The following is an 18,538-nucleotide window of genomic DNA, read 5'->3' as shown; positions in this document are numbered from 1 at the left end:
TGGTGGAAAAAGGCCTGATCTAAGGCTAATGAATGAGTGAGGAAATCCAGCCAGGCCTGTCTTTCTAGATTCTTCTTGGTGTCTCTCAGCAGAGCTCCTTTTCTTCTGGGTGTGGGGCAGAAGAAAAGAACGGAATTCCTGTTCCTCTCTGGAATGGAAATCTTAGGATCTTCAGACAAACAAGGGAGGTCATGGAATTTCCTTATGGCCAGTTTTTACACAGAAAAGGGGAGGGAAAATCAGAGTCCTATTTTTATTTATTTATTTATTTTAGACGGAGTCTCGCTCTGTGGCCCAGGCTGGAGTGCAGTGGCACGATCTCGGCTCACTGCAAGCTCCGCCTTCCGGGTTCACGCCATTCTCCTGCCTCAACCTCCCATGTTGGCCAGGCTGGTCTTGAACTCCTGACCTCAGGAGATCCGCCCTCCTCGGCCTCCCAAAGTGCTGGGATTACAGGCTTCAGCCACCGCGCCCGGCCTAACACAGATCTTAAGTCTGAAAAAGAAATATTTACAATTGGCTGGGTCCGGTGGCTACAAAAAATACAAAAAATACAGAAATTAGCCAGGCACGGTGGCACCTGTAATCCCAGCTACTTGGGAGGCTGAGGCAGAAGAATCACTTGAACCCGGGAAGCGGAGGTTGCAGTGAGCCGAGATCATGCTACTTCACTCCAGCCTGGGTGATAGAGCAACACTCTGTCTCAAAAAAAAAAAACAAAAACAAAAACAAAAGGAGAAACATTTACAATCTAGTCTCTCTGAAGCCTGCTCCCTGGAGGCGTCATCTGCTTGATAAAACCTTGGTCCCCAAACCCTATACCATTATAACCCAGACATTCTTTTCTATTGATAATAATTCTCGGCCAGGCACAATGGCTAACGCCTGTCATCCCAGCACTTTGGGAGGCCGAGGAGGGTGAATCACCTGAGGTTGGGAGTTCGAGACCAGCCTGACCAACATGGAGAAACCCCGTCTCTACTAAAAATACAAAATTAGCCGGGCGTGGTGGCGGGCGCCTGTAGTCCCAGCTACTAGGGAGGCTGAGGCAGGAGAATCGCTTGAACCCAGAAGGCGGAGGTTGTGGTGAACCGAGATCACGCCATTGCACTCCAGCCTGGGCAACAGAGCAAGATTCCACCTCAAAAATAAAATAAAACAAATAGGCCGGGCGCAGTGGCTCACACCTGTAATCCAAGCACTTTGGGAGGCCGAGGCAGGCAGATCACAAGGTCAGGAGATCGAGACCATCCTGGCTAACACGGTGAAACCCTGTTTCTACTAAAAATACAAAAATTAGCCGGGCATGGTGGCGGGTGCCTGTGGTCCCAGCTTCTTGGAAGGCTGAGGCAGGAGAATTTCTTGAACCAGGGAGGCAGAGTTTGCAGTGAGCTGATACCATGCCACTGCACTCCAGCCTGGGTGACAGAGTGAGACTCCACCTCAAAAATAACCCCATCTCTACTAAAAATACAAACTTAGCCGAGCATGGTGGTGCATGCCTGTAATCCTAGCTATTCGGGAGGCTGAGGCAGGAGAATCGTTTGAACCCGGGAGGCAGAGGTTGCAGTGAGCTGAGATCATGCCACCGCACTCTAGCCTGGACAACAAGAGTGAAACTCCATCTGAAAAAAAAAAGAAAAATTATTTCAAACAATTACCAATCACAAAATGTTTAAATCTACCTATTACCTGGGAGCGTTTGCTGTGAGCTTCCCCATTTTTCCGGACTGAAGCAATGTGTGTCTTAAATATGTTTGATTCATGTCTCACGTCTACCTAAAATGTACAGAAGCAGCCCAGCCTGGTGTGGCTCCCGTCTGTCATCCCAGCACTTTTGGGAGGCCGAGGCGGGCGGATTGCCTGAGCTCAGGAGTTGGACACCACCCTGGGTATAGTGATGAAACCCTATCTGTACTAAAAATACAAAAAATTAGCTGGGCATGGTGGTGCGTGCCTGTAATCCCAGTTAGGAGGCTGAGGCAGGAGAATCACTTGAACCCGAGAGGCAGAGGTTGCAGTGAGCTGAGACCGCGCCACTGCACTCCAGCCTGGGCAACAAGAGGGAGGGAGACTCCATCTTAAAAAAAAAAAAAACAATAATACAAATACAAATACAAAAATTAGCCAGGTGTGGTGGTGCGTGCCTGTAATCCCAGCTACTCAGGAGGCTGAGGCAGGAGAATCGCTTGAACCCTGGAGGTGGAGGTGGCAGTGAGCTGCAATTGTGCCATTGTACTCCAGCCTGGGCTACAAGAGTGAAGCTCTGTCTCAATAATAATAAGAAGAAGAAATAAGAAAAAAAAGAAATTAACACAGTTGCATTTTTCCACGTTTTTCTTGATTGTTTCAGATGGGAGGGTAAAGTGCATTTCCATGATTCCATCTTGGCTGAACGTAGACTTCTCTGTCCCTACTTTTATCACCATCCCACAGCCCACCATGGACATGCAGCTGTAATCCCTGTAATCCCACCTACTCAGGAGGCTGAGGCAGGTGAATCGCTTGAACCCTGGAGGTGGAGGTTGCGATCAGCCGAGATCTTGCCACTGCACTCCAACCCGGCAACAGAGCAAGATTCCCTCTTTAAAAAAAAAAAATTGAGATGGTGATAGAGTTTGTATGTTTGTACCCTCCAAATATCATGTTGAAATGGGATCCCCAATGTTGGGGGGTGGGGTCTGGTGGTAGGTGTTTGGATCATGGGGTGAATCCCTAGTAAATAGCTTGGTGCAGTCCCCAAGGTAATGAGACAGTAAATGAGCTCTCCTCTGTGAATTCGTGTGAGAGTTTGTTCTTTTACCATCCTGGCTAACATGGTGAAACCCCATCTCTACTAAAAATACACAAAATTAGCCGGGCGTGGTGGTGGGCACCTGTAGTCCCAGCTACTTGGGAGGCTGAGGCAGGAAAATGGCATGAACCCGGGAGGTGGAGGTTGCAGTGAGCCGAGATTGCGCCACTGCACTGCAGCCTGGTGACAGAGTGAGACTGTCTCAAAAAAAGAAAAAAGCCAGGCGCAGTGGCTCACGCCTGTAATCCCAGCACTTTGGGAGGCCGAGGTGGGCGGATCACGAGGTCAGGAGATTGAGACCATCCTGGCTAACATGGTGAAACCCCGTCTGTACCAAAAATACAAAAAAAAAATTAGCCAGACGCTGTGGCAGGCGCCTGTAGTCCCAGCTACTCAGTAGGCTGAGGCAGGAGAATCGCTTGAACCTGGGAGGCGGAGGTTGCAGTGAGCCAAGATCGCGCCACTGCACTCCAGCCTGGGCAACAGAGTGAGACTCCGTCTCAAAAAAATAAAAAAGACCCTGGCTTCTCTCTCGCTTCCTTTCTCACCATGTAATTCCTTCTACCCCTTTGCCTTGCACCATGACTGGAAACCCTCCGCCTCCAGTTCTCAGTTCTCCACTTTCCTCGTATGTCACCTTCAGATGACATTGAGCATTTGTTTATTTATACTTCCCTGCCTTTCCAGAAACAATGGTCCTGTGAATCTTTAACCTCCAGTACTAAGGCCAGAACGTGGCCCTGAGGAATGTGTTCAAAGGACTGAGCTCTGAGATTCATCCCAGCACCTGTAAGCGGCTTCCTGTAGGTGCCTGTCCTGGTCTGTGAACCTGGGGATGGTGATATCTTTTGCTTGATGGACACATGGCCCAGAGAATGTCACTGCTTTTACAGACATAGCCTTGTCTGTGCCATCTGCTTGTTCCTTGCTGGGAAGCCCCAGTTCTTTGCCTTCTGCCATGACTGGAAACCCTCCGCCTCCAGTTCTCCGTTCTCTGCTTCCCTCATACGTCACCTTCAGATGATATTGAGCATTTGTTTATTTATACTTCCCTGCCTTTCCAGAAACAATGGTCCCGTGAATCTTTAACCTCCAGTACTAAGGCCAGAACGTGGCCTGGAGGGATGTGTTCAAAGGACCGAGCTCTGAGATTCATCCCAGCACCTGTAAGCGGCTTCCTGTAGGTGCCTGTCCTGGTCTGTGAACATGGGGATGGTGATATCTTTTGCTTGATGGACACATGGCCCAGAGAATGTCACTGCTTTTACAGACATGGCCTTGTCTGTGCCATCTGCTTGTTCCTTGCTGGGAAGCCCCAGTTCTTTGCCTTCTGCCATGACTGGAAACCCTCCGCCTCCAGTTCTCAGTTCTCCGCTTCCCTCGTACGTCACCTTCAGATGACATTGAGCATTTGTTTATTTATACTTCCCTGCCTTTCCAGAAACAATGGTCCCGTGAATCTTTAACCTCCAGTACTAACGCCAGAACGTGGCCCGGAGGGATGTGTTCAAAGGACCGAGCTCTGAGATACATCCCAGCACCTGTAAGCGGCTTCCTGTAGGTGCCTGTCCTGGTCTGTGAACCTGGGGATGGTGATATCTTTTGCTTGATGGACACATGGCCCAGAGAATGTCACTGTTTGAACAGACATAGCCTTGTCTGTGCCATCTCCTTGTTCCTTGCTGGGAAGCCCCAGTTCTCTCTTTAGAATGAGGGATGTGGGCCAGGCAGGGACTTTCTGACCTGAGTTTCCTCTTAGCTGAAAACTGTGGTTCCTGGTCTCCTTCACCTCCCTTTTCTCAGGGGCAGGGATGGGTACCAGGAGGGGGGGTGGTATGAGGTAAAGCTCAGAGACAGACTTTAGATGGTGGGTTGGGCGAGGTGGCTCACACCTATAATCCCAGCACTTTGGGAGGCCGAACAGGGGCATTTAATAAATCTACACATGGGCCGTGCGCAGTGGCTCACACCTGTAATCCCAGCAGTCTGGGAGGCCGAGGCAGGCAGATCACTTGAGGTCAGGAGTTCGAGAGCAGCCTGGTCATCATGGTGAAACCCCATCTCTAACAAAAATACAAAAAAAATAGCTGGGTGTGGTGGCAGTTGGCTGTAATCCCAGCTACTCGGGAGGCTGAGGCAGGAGAATCGATTGAACCTGGGAGGTGGCCGTTGCAGTGAGCTGAGATCATGCCATTGCACTCCAGCCTGGGCAACAAGAGTGAAATTCTATCTCAAAAAATAAATAAAATAAAATAAAAATAATAAATTCACAAGTCGTGATTTTCCTGGAAAATGTTGATGCTGTTGGGAAGGAGAGAAGTCTGAGGACTCAGATAAGCCTGTTCTGCCTCTGAAGCAGCTCGGCGTTGTAATAAGTAAAGGCACCAGTGGGAAAAGTCTCAGGGTGTTGTCTGCTGAAGCAGACTCAATGAGTTTTCCTGTGTGGGGTGGTGGGAAGGTTGGCAGGTAGACCACAAGGCAAATTAAGATAAGCTGGTGACTCCGGCCTTTGGAACAAAGAAATGGAAAACTACAGCCCCAGGCCGGGAGTGGTGGCTCAAGCCTGTAATCCCAGCACTTTGTTTATCATTATTATTTTGAGAGGGAGTCTTCCTCTGTCACCAGGCCTGAGTGCAGGTGGCGCGACCTCTGCTCACTGCAATCTCTGCCTCCCGGGTTCACGCCATTCTCTTGCCTCAGCCTCCTGAGTAGCTGGGATTACTGGCGTGCATCACCATGCCTGGCCAATTTTTGTATTTTTAGTAGAGACGGGGTTTCACCATGTTGGCCAGGATGGTCTCGAACTCCTGACCTCGTGATCCACCCGCCTCGGCCTCCCAAAATGCTGGGACTACAGGCGTGATCCACCACACCCGGCATCTATCTATGTGTCTGTCTATCTATCTATCTATCTATCTATCTATCTATCTATCTATCATCTATCACTTATCTATCCTATCAATTATCTACCCTATCATCTATCAATTATCTATCATCTGTCTACCTATCACCTACCATCTATCATATCTATAATGATTACTTATTATATCAATTAATCTTCTATTACATCTATTATTTGTCTATGCTCTCTTTGTATCTACTCTCTCTATATATCTATATGGATAGATATCTATGTATATCTATATGGATATATCTATGTGGATATATCTGTGGATATATCTATATGGATATATCTATGTGGATATACCCATATGGGTATATCTATGTGGATATACCCATATGGGTATATCTATGTGGATATACCCATATGGGTATATCTATGTGGATATACCCATATGGGTATATCTATGTGGATATACCCATATGGGTATATCTATGTGGATATACCCATATGGGTATATCTATGTGGATATATCCATATGGGTATATCTATGTGGACATATCTATATGGATATATCTATATGGATAGATATCATAATCATTTATTATATCTATCATCTCAGTTTTATCTATCTATATGTCTATCTATCATCTATCTACCTATCACCTATCATATCTATAATGATCACTCATTATATCAATCGATCTTCTATTCCATTTATTATCTATGTCCCTCTATCTTTGTATCTACTCTCTCTAGATATCTATCTAGATATCTGTCTATATAGATATCTACCTAGATATCACCTATCATAATCATTTATTATATCTATCATCTAAGTTTTATCTATCTATATGTTTATCATCTATCACCTACTATCTATCGTATCTATAATGATCACTTATATCAATTAATCTTCTATTCCATCTATTATCTATGTCTCTCTTTGTATCTACTCTCTCTATATCTATATAGATATCTATCTATATAGATATGTATCACCTATCATAATCATTTATTGTATCTATCATCTAAGTTTTATCTATCTATATGTCTACCATCTGTCTATCACCTACCATCTATCATATTGATAATGATCACTTATTATATCAATCGATCTTCTATTCCATCTATTATTTATGTGTCTTTCTATTTACTCCCTCTATATATCTATATAGATATCTATGTATCTATCACCTATCATAATCATTTGTTATATCTATCATCTAAGTTTTATCTATCTATTGATCTATCTATCATCTGTCTACCTATCACCTATCATCTATCATATCTGTAATGATCACTCATTATATCGGTCCATCTTCTCTTCCATCTATTATCTGTCTATCTGTCTATCTATCTTTCTATCTACTCCATCTATCTATCTATCTATCTATCTATCTATCTATCTATCTATCTATCTAGCTATCTATCTAGCTATCATCTATCTATGTATCATCTATCTATAACAGTGGTTCACAGGCCAGGGAGAATTCTACCCCCAGGGGAAACTTGGCAATGTCTAGAGACAATCACAAGAGAATGACAATCTGTGGACACCCTTGGTGTCAGTCCTGGGAAGTTTGCTCCTGGCCCCCGGTGTGTGGATCCCAGGACGGCTGCTCAACACCCACCAGTGCCCAGGACAGCCCCACCACAGAGAATCCTCCCGCTCCCAATGTCAGCAGTGCCGAGGTTGAGAATGCCCCATCCTGCATGTTGGGGACAATATCAGTTTGCTTTTCCCTTTTCTTTTTTTTCTTGAGATGGAGTCTCGCTCTGTCATCCAAGCTGGAGGGCAGTGGTGCGATCTCGGCTCACTGCAACTTCCGCCTCCCGGGTTCAAGCGATTCTCCTGCCTCAGCCTCCTCAGTAGCTGGGATTACAGGCACCCACCGCCATGCCCGGCTAATTTTTGTATTTTTAGTAGAGAAGGGGTTTCACTGTGTTGGCCAGGCTGGTCTCGAACTCATGACCTCGTGATCAGCCCACCTCAGCCTTAAAGTGCTGGGATGACAGGAGTGAGCCACCGTGCCAGCCTCAGTTTGTTTTTCTGCTGATACTGGCTCACTTTCCCTGTGGCCACACATTCTTCTGTCCACAGACCATCCCTCCAGCCACAGAAGGGAGGAGGGTGTGACCCCAACCCCTTATCTAGCAACAGAAGGAGCTGTGGTAGGGCAGCTCCTCAGAAGCCGGAAATCTGCAAGCTCTCGGGGGAGGGTGGAGCCCAGCGCGTTGTAACATCTCTTTTTCCCCGAAGAGGAAGCACAGACTATCAGGCCTGTTTCCAAATCTCAACTTCCTGACCCGGCTTACCTTCAGGCTTTAACAAGCTCCCAGCCTCCTCCTAGCTGGCTCTGGCTAAAGCTGGAGTCCAGGAACCTCAAATAGCCTAGAGGCTCTCTCCAGGGCTTGAGTAGCACCAGGAAGGGCCACGTGGTCTGCGCTGGACAGAGACCTTCCTGGGGTGCAACGTGACACTTCCTGCCCCAGAGGCAGCTCCAGCAGAAACAGCTGCAGGCATCCCCAGCAATCCTCATCCCAAGCTCCTTCCACAGCTCACAGCGTCCGTGATGCGGGATCAACACAACCTGCTGGCTATATTTGAGGCTTGCCAGATAGCCTGGCTCCTGCATTCTTGCCTCGGGATTCCCGTTGTGATCTGCTTTTTCCAGTCCTTTCTGGGACCCCTTTCATTGCTGACAGCCGCTGGGGGCTGAACCGGCCAGGGCTGAATCTGCAGACGTGTCCAAGGCGCGTCCCAGAGCAAGGGCTTGGTGGGGGGGGGGGTCAGGGACCCGGGGCCTGTCGTTTAATGAGCTCTCACGGACACTTTAAGCCCATTTATGCCGGAGGTTGCAAGTTTTTTTGGTGTAAAAAACCAGATCTTGGCGATGACCTTCAGCCTTCAGACAAGCTTAGCGTTCCAATAATGGAACGCTAGGCATACACGGGTTCCTCATGAGCTCTCCCCCCAGGAAAACCCGAAGGCTCAGGGGCGGCCTTTCTGCAGCTGAGGACACGCAGAGGCAGAAGACGGGAGACGCGCCTCGATCGCGGCCCCAAAGTATATACGTTGAGTTCCAAACGCCTCTGGTCTCCGGGAATGACGCCTCGTTTGGAATTAAGGCCCTTGCAGATGTAATTAGTTAAAAGAAAGGCGCCGGGGCCCAGCCGTTAATTCAGTACCGCCCGCGTGGAAATCCGAGCCTGGCTGCGCCTTTGGAATTCCAGGGGTGGGGGAGGGATTCCAGGGGTGGGGGAGGGATTCCTTTAACCCTTTCTTCTCCGGATCGCTAGTAACGAATCAAGCACCCAGGACAGTGAACCCTGCCAGAAACAAGAAGCAGAAAAGTGACAGCTGTGACTAACCCTGGAATCCCTCCCCTCCACCTCCACAAGAAAAGTCCGGGGTTTTCCGGCACCCCTCAACTCAAGGGGTGGGTAGTACAGGCTGTCTCCTCTCCTCTCCTCTCGTCTCCTCTCCTCTCCCCTCCTCTCGTCTAGTCTCCCCTCCCCTCCCCTCCCCTCCCCCCTCAACTCTACGAGTGGGTAATACAGGCTGTCCTCTTCTCTTTTCTTTTCTTCTCCCCCCTCCATTCCCCTCCCCTCCCCTCTCCTCCTCTCCCCTCCATTCCCCTCCCCTCCCTTTCCCCCTCAAGTCAACGGGTGGGTAGTACAGGCTCTTGTCCTCTCTTCTCCTCTCTTCTCTTCTCCCCTCCCCTCCCCTCCCCTCCCCTCCCCTATCCTCCCCTCCCCTATCCTCCCCTCCCCTATCCTCCCCTCCCCTCCCCTATCCTCCCCTCCCCTATCTTCCCCTCCCCTATCCTCCCCTCCCCTATCCTCCCCTCCCCTCCCCTCCTCTCCCCTCCTCTCCCCTCCCCTCTCCTCTCTTCTCTTCTCTTCACCCCTCAACTCAACGGGTGGGTAGTACAGGCTGTCTCTTCTCTTCTCTCTCTTTCTTTTTCTTTCTTTCTCTTTCTTTCTTTTCCTTCTTTCTTTCTCTCTCTCTCTCCCTCCCTCCCTCTCTCTCTCTCTCTCTCTCTCTCCTTCCTTCCTTCCTTCCTCCGTCCCTCCCTCCCTTCTTTCTTTCTTGAGATTCTTTTCTTTTCTTTTTTGAGATAGAGTTTTGCTCCTGTTGCCCAGGCTGGAGTACAATGGCGCGATCTCGGCTCACGGCAACCTCCGTCTCCCAGGTTCAAGCGATTCTCCTGCCTCAGCCTCCCGAGTAGCTGGGATTACAGGTGTGCACCACCACGCCCAGCTAATTTTTTGTATTTTTAGTAGAGACGGGGTTTCTCCATGTTGGCCAGGCTGGTCTCGAACTCCTGATCTCTGGTGATCCACCCACCTCAGCCTCCCAAAGTGCTGGGATTACAGGCGTGAGCCACCGCGCCTGGCTCGAATAATTTCTTGCACGACATCCAAGAACCCTCTGTTGAGGTCTGCATTGGGACCCCTTACACTGTGGGTTTTTTTTTTTTTTTTTTTGATGGAGTCTCGCTTTGTTGCTCAGGCTGGAGTGCAGTGGCGCGATCTTGGCTCGCTGCATCCTCTGCTTCCTGAGTTCAATCGATTCTCCTGTCTCAGCCTCCCGAGTAGCTGGGATTACAGGCACCCGCCACCACCCCCGGCTAATTTTTTGTATTTTTAGTACAGACGGGGTTTCACCATGTTGGTCAGGCTGGTCTCGAACTCCTGAGCTTGTGATCCGCCCGCCTGATTTTTTTTTTTTTTTAGAGCACTGTAAGCTCCGCCTCCCTGGTCATGCCATTCTCCTGCCTCAGCCTCCCGGTAGCAGTGACTACAGGCGCCTGCCACCACCCCCGGCTAATTTTTTGTATTTTTAGTAGAGACAGGGTTTCACCATGTTGACCAGGCTGGTCTCGAACTCCTGACCTCGTGATCCGCCCGCCGGATTTTTATTACCGTATTTATTCAAATCCCGGAACCTTAAGCCACGCAATTTCTTTTTGGGGACTCGACTGCCACCTGCTGGCCATGCCTATGTTTGCAGGCGTGCGGTGCCGGGAGAATGAGGCTTGGAGTCCTCATTTGTAGGGTGTGTAGTTTCTTGGGGTGGACAGAACAAACCGAGGGCCTTAAAACAACTGGAATGTATCCTCTCTGAGGCCTGCAGACCAGGAGTCTTGAGATCCAGGTGTCTCAGGACTGTGCTCCCTCTGGAGGCTCTAGGGGAGGGTCCTTCCTGCCTCTCCCAGCTCCTGGGGGCTCCAGGCGTCCCTGGGTTTGTGGCCGCCTCACTGCAGTCTCTGTCACCATCTCCACGTGGCCTCCTCTGTGTCTGTGTCTCCTCTTTGTCTCTTATGGGGTCACCCCTCATTGGATTTAGAGTCCAACTCCAATGCAAGGCGATTTCATTTTGAGATCCTTCCCTTAAACACATCTGCAAAGACCCTATTTCCAAATGAGGTCCTATTCACGGATTCTAAGGTTTAGGACCTGGACATGTCTTTGGGGGATCCCCATTCAACCCACTGCAGTTTGGTTTGGTTCCTTTTAGAAGCTCTAGGGGAGGATCCTTCCTGCCTCTTCGAGCTCCTGGGGGCTCCAGGCGTCCCTGGGACTGTGGCCACCTCACTGCAGTCTCTGCCTCCGTCTCCACGTGGCCTCCTCCCCTGTCTGTGTCTCCTCTTCTGTCTCTTTTTTTTTTTTTTTTTTTTTTGAGATGGAGTCTCACTCTGTCGCCAGGCTGGAGTGCAGTGGCTCGATCTTGACTCACTGCAACCTCCGCCTGCCGGGTTCAAGCGATTCTCCTGCCTCAGCCTCTGGAATAGCTGGAATTACAGGCGCCTGCCACCACGCCCAGCTAATTTTTGTATTTTTAGTAGAGACAGGGTTTCACCATGTTGGCCAGGCTGGTCTCGATCTCCTGGCCTCAGGTGATCCGCCTGCCTCGGGCTCCCAAAGTGCTGGGATTACAAGCGTGAGCCACCGCGCCCGGCCCCTTCTGTCTCTTAGACCTACACTCATGGGATTTATGACTCACCTTAATCAAAAATGATGTCATCTCAATTTACATTTTAATTACATTTCCAAATAAGGTCCCAATATTCACAGAGACTGGAAGTTGGGAACTCAACGTACATTTCACCCCTTAACAAATTATCCTGCTGCATCTCCCATCTTCTGCTTCTTCTGCTCGTCGTCGGCCACGGAAAGGCTGCCCTGGAGCTTTCAAGTTTGCCTGGCTGGAGAGCTCATTAATAACCCGTTTATAGGCTGGGCGCAGTGGCTCACGCCTGTCATCCTAGCACTTTGGGAGGCCAAGGCAGGTGGATCACCTGAGGCCAGGAGTTCGAGACCAGCCTGGCCAACATGGTGAAACCCTGTCTCTACTAAAAATACAAAAAAAAAAAAAAAAAAAAAAAAAATTAGCAGGGCATGGTGGTGGGCGCCTGTAGTCCCAGCTACTCGGGAGGCTGAGGCAGGAGAATCACTTGAACCCGGGAGGTGGAGCTTGCAGTGAGCCGAGATGGTGCCATTGCACTCCAGCCTGGGGGACAGAGCCAGACTCTGTCTCAAAAAATAAAAAATAATAAAAAATAACCCGTTTATAGGCCGGGCGCGGTGGCTCACGCCTGTCATCCCAGCACTTTGGGAGGCCGAGGCGGGTGGATCACCTGAGGCCAGGAGTTCGAGACCAGCCTGGCCAACATGGTGAAACCCCGTCTCTACTTAAAAGACAAAAGTTAGCCGTGTGTAGTGGCAGCTGCCTGTAATCCCAGCTACTCGGGAGGCTGAGGCAGGAGAATCGCTCGAACCCGGGAGGCGGAGGTTGCAGTGAGCGGAGATCATGCCATTGCACTCCAGCCTGGGTGACACAGCGAGATTCGGTCTCAAAAAAAAGAAAAAAGGAATTACAGGCATGAGCCACGTTGCCCGGCCATAGATGGGTTTAAAGCGTCTCTGCAGAGTTCATTAAACTGCAGGCCCCCAGGCCCCCTGAGCCCACCCAGCCCTTGCTCAGGGACACGCCTTTAATTTGGAAGTTTTGGACACTAGGGGTCAGAAGCATCCTCTGCAAATTCAGCTTTGGCTGGCTCAGCCCCCCCCAGCAGCTGTCGGCGATGAAAGGGCCGCAGGAGGGGCTGGAAAAGCCTCTCTGTATCCCGCAGCACTTGGAGACCCAGTGTCCCCCGGGGCTGGAGTCAAGCTGTCTCGCCAGCCTCAAAGGTGACCAGAGGCTTGTGTTAATCCCACACCTGGGACGCAGTGAGCTGTGGAAGGAATTTAGGATGAGGATACCTGGGATGTCTGGGGCTCTCCCTTCCCTTCCCTTCCCTTCCCTTCCCTTCCCTCCCCTTCCCTCCCCTCCCCTCCCCTCCCCTCCCCTCCCCTCCCCTCCCTCTCTTTCCCTCCCTCCTTCCTTCCTTTCTCTTTCTTTTTCTTTCTCCTTCCTTCCTTTCTTCTTCTTTCCTTTCTCTTTCTCTTTCTTTCTTTCCTTCCTTCTCCTTCCTTCCCTTCCCTTTCCTTCCTTCCTCCCTTTTCTTTCTTTCTCTTTCTTTCCTTCCTTCTTCCTTCCCTTCACATTCCTTCCTTCCTCTCTTTCCCTCCCTCCCTGCTTCCTTCCTTTCTTTTCTTTCTTTCATTCTTTTTTCTCTGTTTCTTTCTCCTTCTTTCCTTCATTTCTTTCTCTCTTTCTCTTTCTTTCTTTCTCTCTTTCTGTCTTTCTTTCTCTTCCTCCTTCTTTTCTTTGGAGCCTTGCTCTCTCACTCAGGCTGTACTGCAATGGCACAATCTCGGCTCACTGCAACCTCCGCCTCCCGGGTTCACGCCATTCTCCTGCATCAGCCTCCTGGGTAGCTGGGATTACAGGCACCCGCCACCACGCCTGGCTAATTTTTTGTGTTTTCGGTAGAGACGGGGTTTCACCAAGTTGGCCAGGCTGGTCTCGAACTCCTGACCACGTGATCCGCCTGCCTCAGCCTCCCAAAGTGCTGGGATTACAGGCGTGAGCTACCGCGCCCAGCTAGGAAGGTCTCTTTCTGGGAACTACCTCCCTGTTGAGCCAAGCCCAGGAGAGCCTTTGTGTTTTACGTGCTGGACCTTTAGCCAAAGCCCATTAGAAAGAGGCTGGGAGCTTGTTACCACGTGAGGGTTTCAGAAATTCATTCTGAACTGACAACTTGCACAGGTATCCCCTGGCCCCCTCAGACAGTACCCCTTCCTGACTGGATACCCCCGGCGGTATTTGAACCAGCTGTGAAAATCTAGGTAGCTTGCTTTTTTTTTTTTTTTTTTAATGGAGTTTTCACTCTTGTTGCCCAGGCTGGAGTGCAGCGGCGTGATCTCAGCTCACTGCAACCTCCGCCTCCCGGGTTCAAGCGATTCTCCTGCCTCAGCCTCCCAAGTAGCTGAGATTACAGGTGCCCACCACCACATCTGGCTGATTTTTGTATTTTTAGTAGAGACGGGGTTTCACCATGTTGGCCAGGCTGGTCTCAAACTCCTGACCTTTGGTGATCCACCCGCCTCAGCCTCCCAAAGTGCTGGGATGACAGGCGTGAGCTGCTTGTGAGTTGCTTGTTGTTTCTATTTCCTGGTGTTTGCAGAACCGGCTCTGCCTGAAAACTCTCAGCGTCCTTATCTCCTGGAGTTATCTTGTATGTTGGTGCCTTGGAAACCCCCTTCCCACCTCCAGCACTTGGCTTGAAAAATCTTCACAAGAAAAGAGAAATCAGATGCCTTCAAGAAGGCCAGGACGCTCTCTGGTTTGCTAAGTTTTGACAAAACATCCTGGGCTGGGAGACCCGCAAACCGGGGTGTAACTCCCACATGCTGGGTCCTTCCTGGGCGGGGAGGGTGGGGGGACCTTCCTGGGTTGGGGAGCCTCCCAGTACCTTTGCCAGCCAGCCCCCCTGCTCTTTCCTCCTGTGGGGTTCGGCCCTAGGCCTCAGGGCATATTCTCACACCCCGAAAGCAAGCACTGAGTGGGAAGCCACAGGTGGGATGACTCAGCTGGGAAGAGGAGGGTTGCTGTGTGTTTTTGTTTTTTTTTAAATTTTTTTCAGATGGAGTTTCACTCTTGTTGCCCAGGCTGGAATGCACTGATGCGATCTCGGCTCACTGCAACCTCCGCCTCCCGGGTTCAAGCGATTCTCCTGCCTCAGCTTCCCGAGTAGCTGGTATTACAGGCGCCTGCCACCATGCCTGGCTAATTTTTGTATTTTTAGGAGTGACAGGGTTTCACCATGTTAGTCAGGCTGGTCTCGAACTCTGACCTCAAGTGATTCACCTGCCTCGGCCTCCCAAACTGCTGGGATTACAGGCGTGAGCCGCCGCGCCTGGCCCTTTTTATTTTACTTATTTTTATTTTTTGTATTGTTTTGAGGCGGACTTTTGCTCTTGTTGTCCAGGCTGGAGTGCAGTGGTGCGATCTCAGCTCACTGCAACCTCTGCGTCCTAGGTTCAGGTGATTCTCCTGCCTCAGCCTCCCGAGTAGCTGGGATTACAGGTGACCGCCAAAAACCCTGGCTAATTTTTGTATTTTTAGGAGTGACGGGGGTTTCACCATGTTAGTCAGGCTGGTCTCGAACTCTGATCTCAAGTGATTCACCTGCCTTGGCCTCCCAAACTGCTGGGATTACAGGCGTGAGCCACCGCGCCTGGCCCTTTTTATTTATTTACTTATTTTTATTTTTTTTATTTTTTTGAGGCGGACTTTCGCTCTTGTTGCCCAGGCTGGAATGCACTGGTGCGATCTCGGCTCACTGCAACCTCCGCCTCCCGGGTTCAAGAGATTCTCCTGCTTCAGCCTCCCGAGTAGCTGGTATTACAGGCGCCTGCCACCATGCCTGGCGAATTTTTGTATTTTTAGGAGTGACGGGGTTTCACCATTTAGTCAGGCTGATCTCAAACTCCTGACCTCAAGTGATTCACCTGCCTTGGCCTCCCAAAGTGCTGGGATTACAGGTGTGAGCCACCGTGCCCAGCCCTATTCATTTATTTATTTATTTAATTTAATTAAATAATTTATTATTTATTTTGAGGCAGACTTTCGCTCTTGTTGCCCAGGCTGGAGTGCAGTGGCGTGATCTCAGCTCACTGCAACCTCTGCCTCCCGGGTTCAAGTGATTCTCCTGCCCCAGCCTCCCTAATAGCTGGGATGACAGGCATGCGTCACCACGCTTGGCTAATTTTATTTATTTATTATTATTTTTAAAATATATTTTTCTAAGACAGAGTGTTGCTCTGTCACCCAGGCTGGAGTGCAGGAGTGCAATGGCGTGATCTGGGCTCACTGCAACCTCTGTCTCCTGGGTTCAAGCGATTCTCCTGCCTCAGCCTCCCGAGTAGCTGGGATGACAGGTGCCCGCCACCACGCCTGGCTAATTTTTGTATTTTTAGTAGAGACGGGGTTTCACCGTGTTAGCCAGGCTGGTCTCAAACTCCTGACCTCAAGTGATCCGCCTGTCTTGGCCTCCCAAACTGTCGGGATTACGGGCATGAGACACCGCGCCCGGCCCACAGTTCCAGGAAAAAATGCAGGAGAGAAAATGTGATGAGGTTACTGCATTTCTGATCGTCACCCCATGGATGGTCTTCACCCCAAATCTCCATCCCTCAGAGAGAGACCCCCACTCACCCCAAATCTCCATCCCTCAGAGAGAGACCAACACTCACCCCAAATCTCCATCCCTCAGAGAGACCCCCATTCACCCCAAATCTCTATCCCTCAGGGACCCCCCCACTTACCCCAAATCTCCATCCCTCAGAGAGAGACCCCACTCACCCCAAATCTCTATCCCTCACAGAGACCCCCGCTCACCCCAAATCTCCATCCCTCAGAGAGAGACCCCACTCACCCCAAATCTCTATCCCTCACAGAGACCCCCGCTCACCCCAAATCTCCATCCCTCAGAGAGACCCCCATTCACCCCAAATCTCTATCCCTCAGGGACCCCCCCACTTACCCCAAATCTCCATCCCTCAGAGAGATCCACACTCACCCCAAATCTCCATCCCTCAGAGAGAGACCCCACTCACCCCAAATCTCTATCGCTCACAGAGACCCCTGCTCACCCCAAATCTCCATCCCTCAGAGAGAGACCCCCCACTCACCCCAAATCACCCCTCCTGCAGAGGCCTTCACTCACCCCAAATCTCCACCATGCTCCAGAGACCCCACTCAGCCGGCGAACTCCGCGAGGCTGGGGCCGTGATCCTCTGGGATGGGGCCGTGGCCGACTGTTCAGTGGTCCTAGGCAATTCAGGGATCTTTATGGATGTCTTGTCTTGTCTTTTCTTTTTCTTTTCTTTTTTTTTTGAGATGGAGTCTCGCTTTGTCACCAGGCTGGAGTGCAGTGGTGTAATCTTGGCTCACTGTAACCTCCACCTTCCAGGTTCAAGCGATTCTTCTGCCTCAGCCTCCCGAGTAGCTGGGATTACAGGCACATGCCAGCACGCCCGGCTGATTTTTGTATTTTTAGTAGAGATGGGGTTTCACTGTGTTGGTCAGGCTGGTCTCGAACTCCTGACCTCAGGTGATCCACCCGCCTCGGCCTCCCAACGTGCTGGGATGACAGGCGTGAGCCACTTCTCCCGGCCTAATTTTTGTATTTTTAATAGAGACAGGTTTTTGCCATGTTGTCCAGCTGGTCTCAAACTCCTGACCTCAGGCTGAGGTGATCCACCCGCCTCAGCCTCCTAGAGTGCTGGGATTACAGGTGTGAGCCACTGTGCCCGGCCTAATTTTTGTATTTTTAATAGACACAGGTTTTTGCCATGTTGGTCAGGCTGGTCTCAAACTCCTGACCTTAGGTGATCCACCCGCCTCGGCCTCCCAAAGTGCTGGGATCACAGGTGTGACTCACCGCGCCTGGCCAGAGTTTGGCTCTTTTTTTTCTTGACAACACCCAGCACCAGAGGACGGGTCTGGAGGCTTCCCTGTCGTATCCGTGCGTCAGCGCCGTGGGTGGGTGGGAATATTCCTAGAAGATACTGCTATCATCATGGGAGGCCAGACCGCAGTGAGCCAGGCCTGGCCGTGACGTTGGAACCCACGGGCAGATCCCTCAAAGACCACATGCAAATCAACTGCAGGTCAACTTCCCTGTCTCAGCTCCCCAGAACCCCACCTCTGCCCCGGGGCCGCCCGGCATACGGGGAACTTAGGCAGAGGGGAAGTGGGAGTGGAGAGAAACCGCAGCTAAATGGAGCCGAAATGTCTCATTTTGGCAAATTTTCCAAAGCCCGGGATCCTCTGAAGTTACGCCCTTCCCAGACCGCAAGACGAGCCGGCCTCCTGGTTAATTCACCTGTCTCTTACTTTTGTGTTTTTTTAATTTTTTTTAATTAATTTATGTTTATTTTTATTTTTTGAGACAGAGTCTCACTCTGTCGCCCAGGCTGGAGTGCAGTGGTGCGATCTCAGCTCACTGCAACCTCCGCCTCCCGGGTTTAGCCATTCTCTTGCCTCAGCCTCCCGAGTAGCTGGGACTACAGGTGCCCGCCACCACGCCCGGCTAATTTTTTGTATTTTTAGTAGAGACGGGGTTTCACTATGTTGGCCAGGCTGGTCTCGAACTCCTGACTTCGTGATCCACCCTCCTCGGCCTCCCAAAGTGCTGGGATGACAGGCGTGAGCCACTGCGCCCGACCGAATATTTTTTTTTTATGTTTGAGGATGAGTGGGTTTTTCATTGCAATGACAGGTCTCAGTACATTTATTTTATTTATTTATTTATTCATTTATTTTAATTTTGTTTTGAGACAGAGCTCTCTGTTGCCCAGGCTGCAGTACAACGGTGTGATCTCGGCTCACTGCAACCTCTGCCTCCGGGGTTCAAGCGATTGTCCTGTCTCAGCCTCCCGAGTAGCTGGGATTACAGGCGTGCACCACCACGCCCAGTTCATTTTGTATTTTTAGTAGAGAC

The 18,538-nt window shown here is 50.4% G+C and overlaps 3 annotated features.

Moving 5' to 3' along the window:
- Window positions 8,531–9,040: an enhancer, noted in NCBI's record as "H3K27ac-H3K4me1 hESC enhancer chrY:1317424-1317933 (GRCh37/hg19 assembly coordinates)". NCBI's record gives its function as "activates a minimal SCP1, AML or CMV promoter by ChIP-STARR-seq in primed H9 embryonic stem cells {active_cell/tissue: H9 hESC(primed)}" and the evidence as "EXISTENCE:reporter gene assay evidence [ECO:0000049][PMID:30033119]".
- Window positions 8,531–9,058: a biological region, named in NCBI's record as "H3K27ac-H3K4me1 hESC enhancers GRCh37_chrX:1367406-1367922 and GRCh37_chrY:1317424-1317933".
- Window positions 8,542–9,058: an enhancer, noted in NCBI's record as "H3K27ac-H3K4me1 hESC enhancer chrX:1367406-1367922 (GRCh37/hg19 assembly coordinates)". NCBI's record gives its function as "activates a minimal SCP1, AML or CMV promoter by ChIP-STARR-seq in primed H9 embryonic stem cells {active_cell/tissue: H9 hESC(primed)}" and the evidence as "EXISTENCE:reporter gene assay evidence [ECO:0000049][PMID:30033119]".

This window comes from Homo sapiens, chromosome X (assembly GCF_000001405.40).
Source record: "Homo sapiens chromosome X, GRCh38.p14 Primary Assembly".
NCBI lineage: Eukaryota > Metazoa > Chordata > Mammalia > Primates > Hominidae > Homo > Homo sapiens.
The sequence above is the reverse complement of the archived record's forward strand: the minus strand, read 5'-3'. Positions and strand labels throughout refer to the sequence as shown.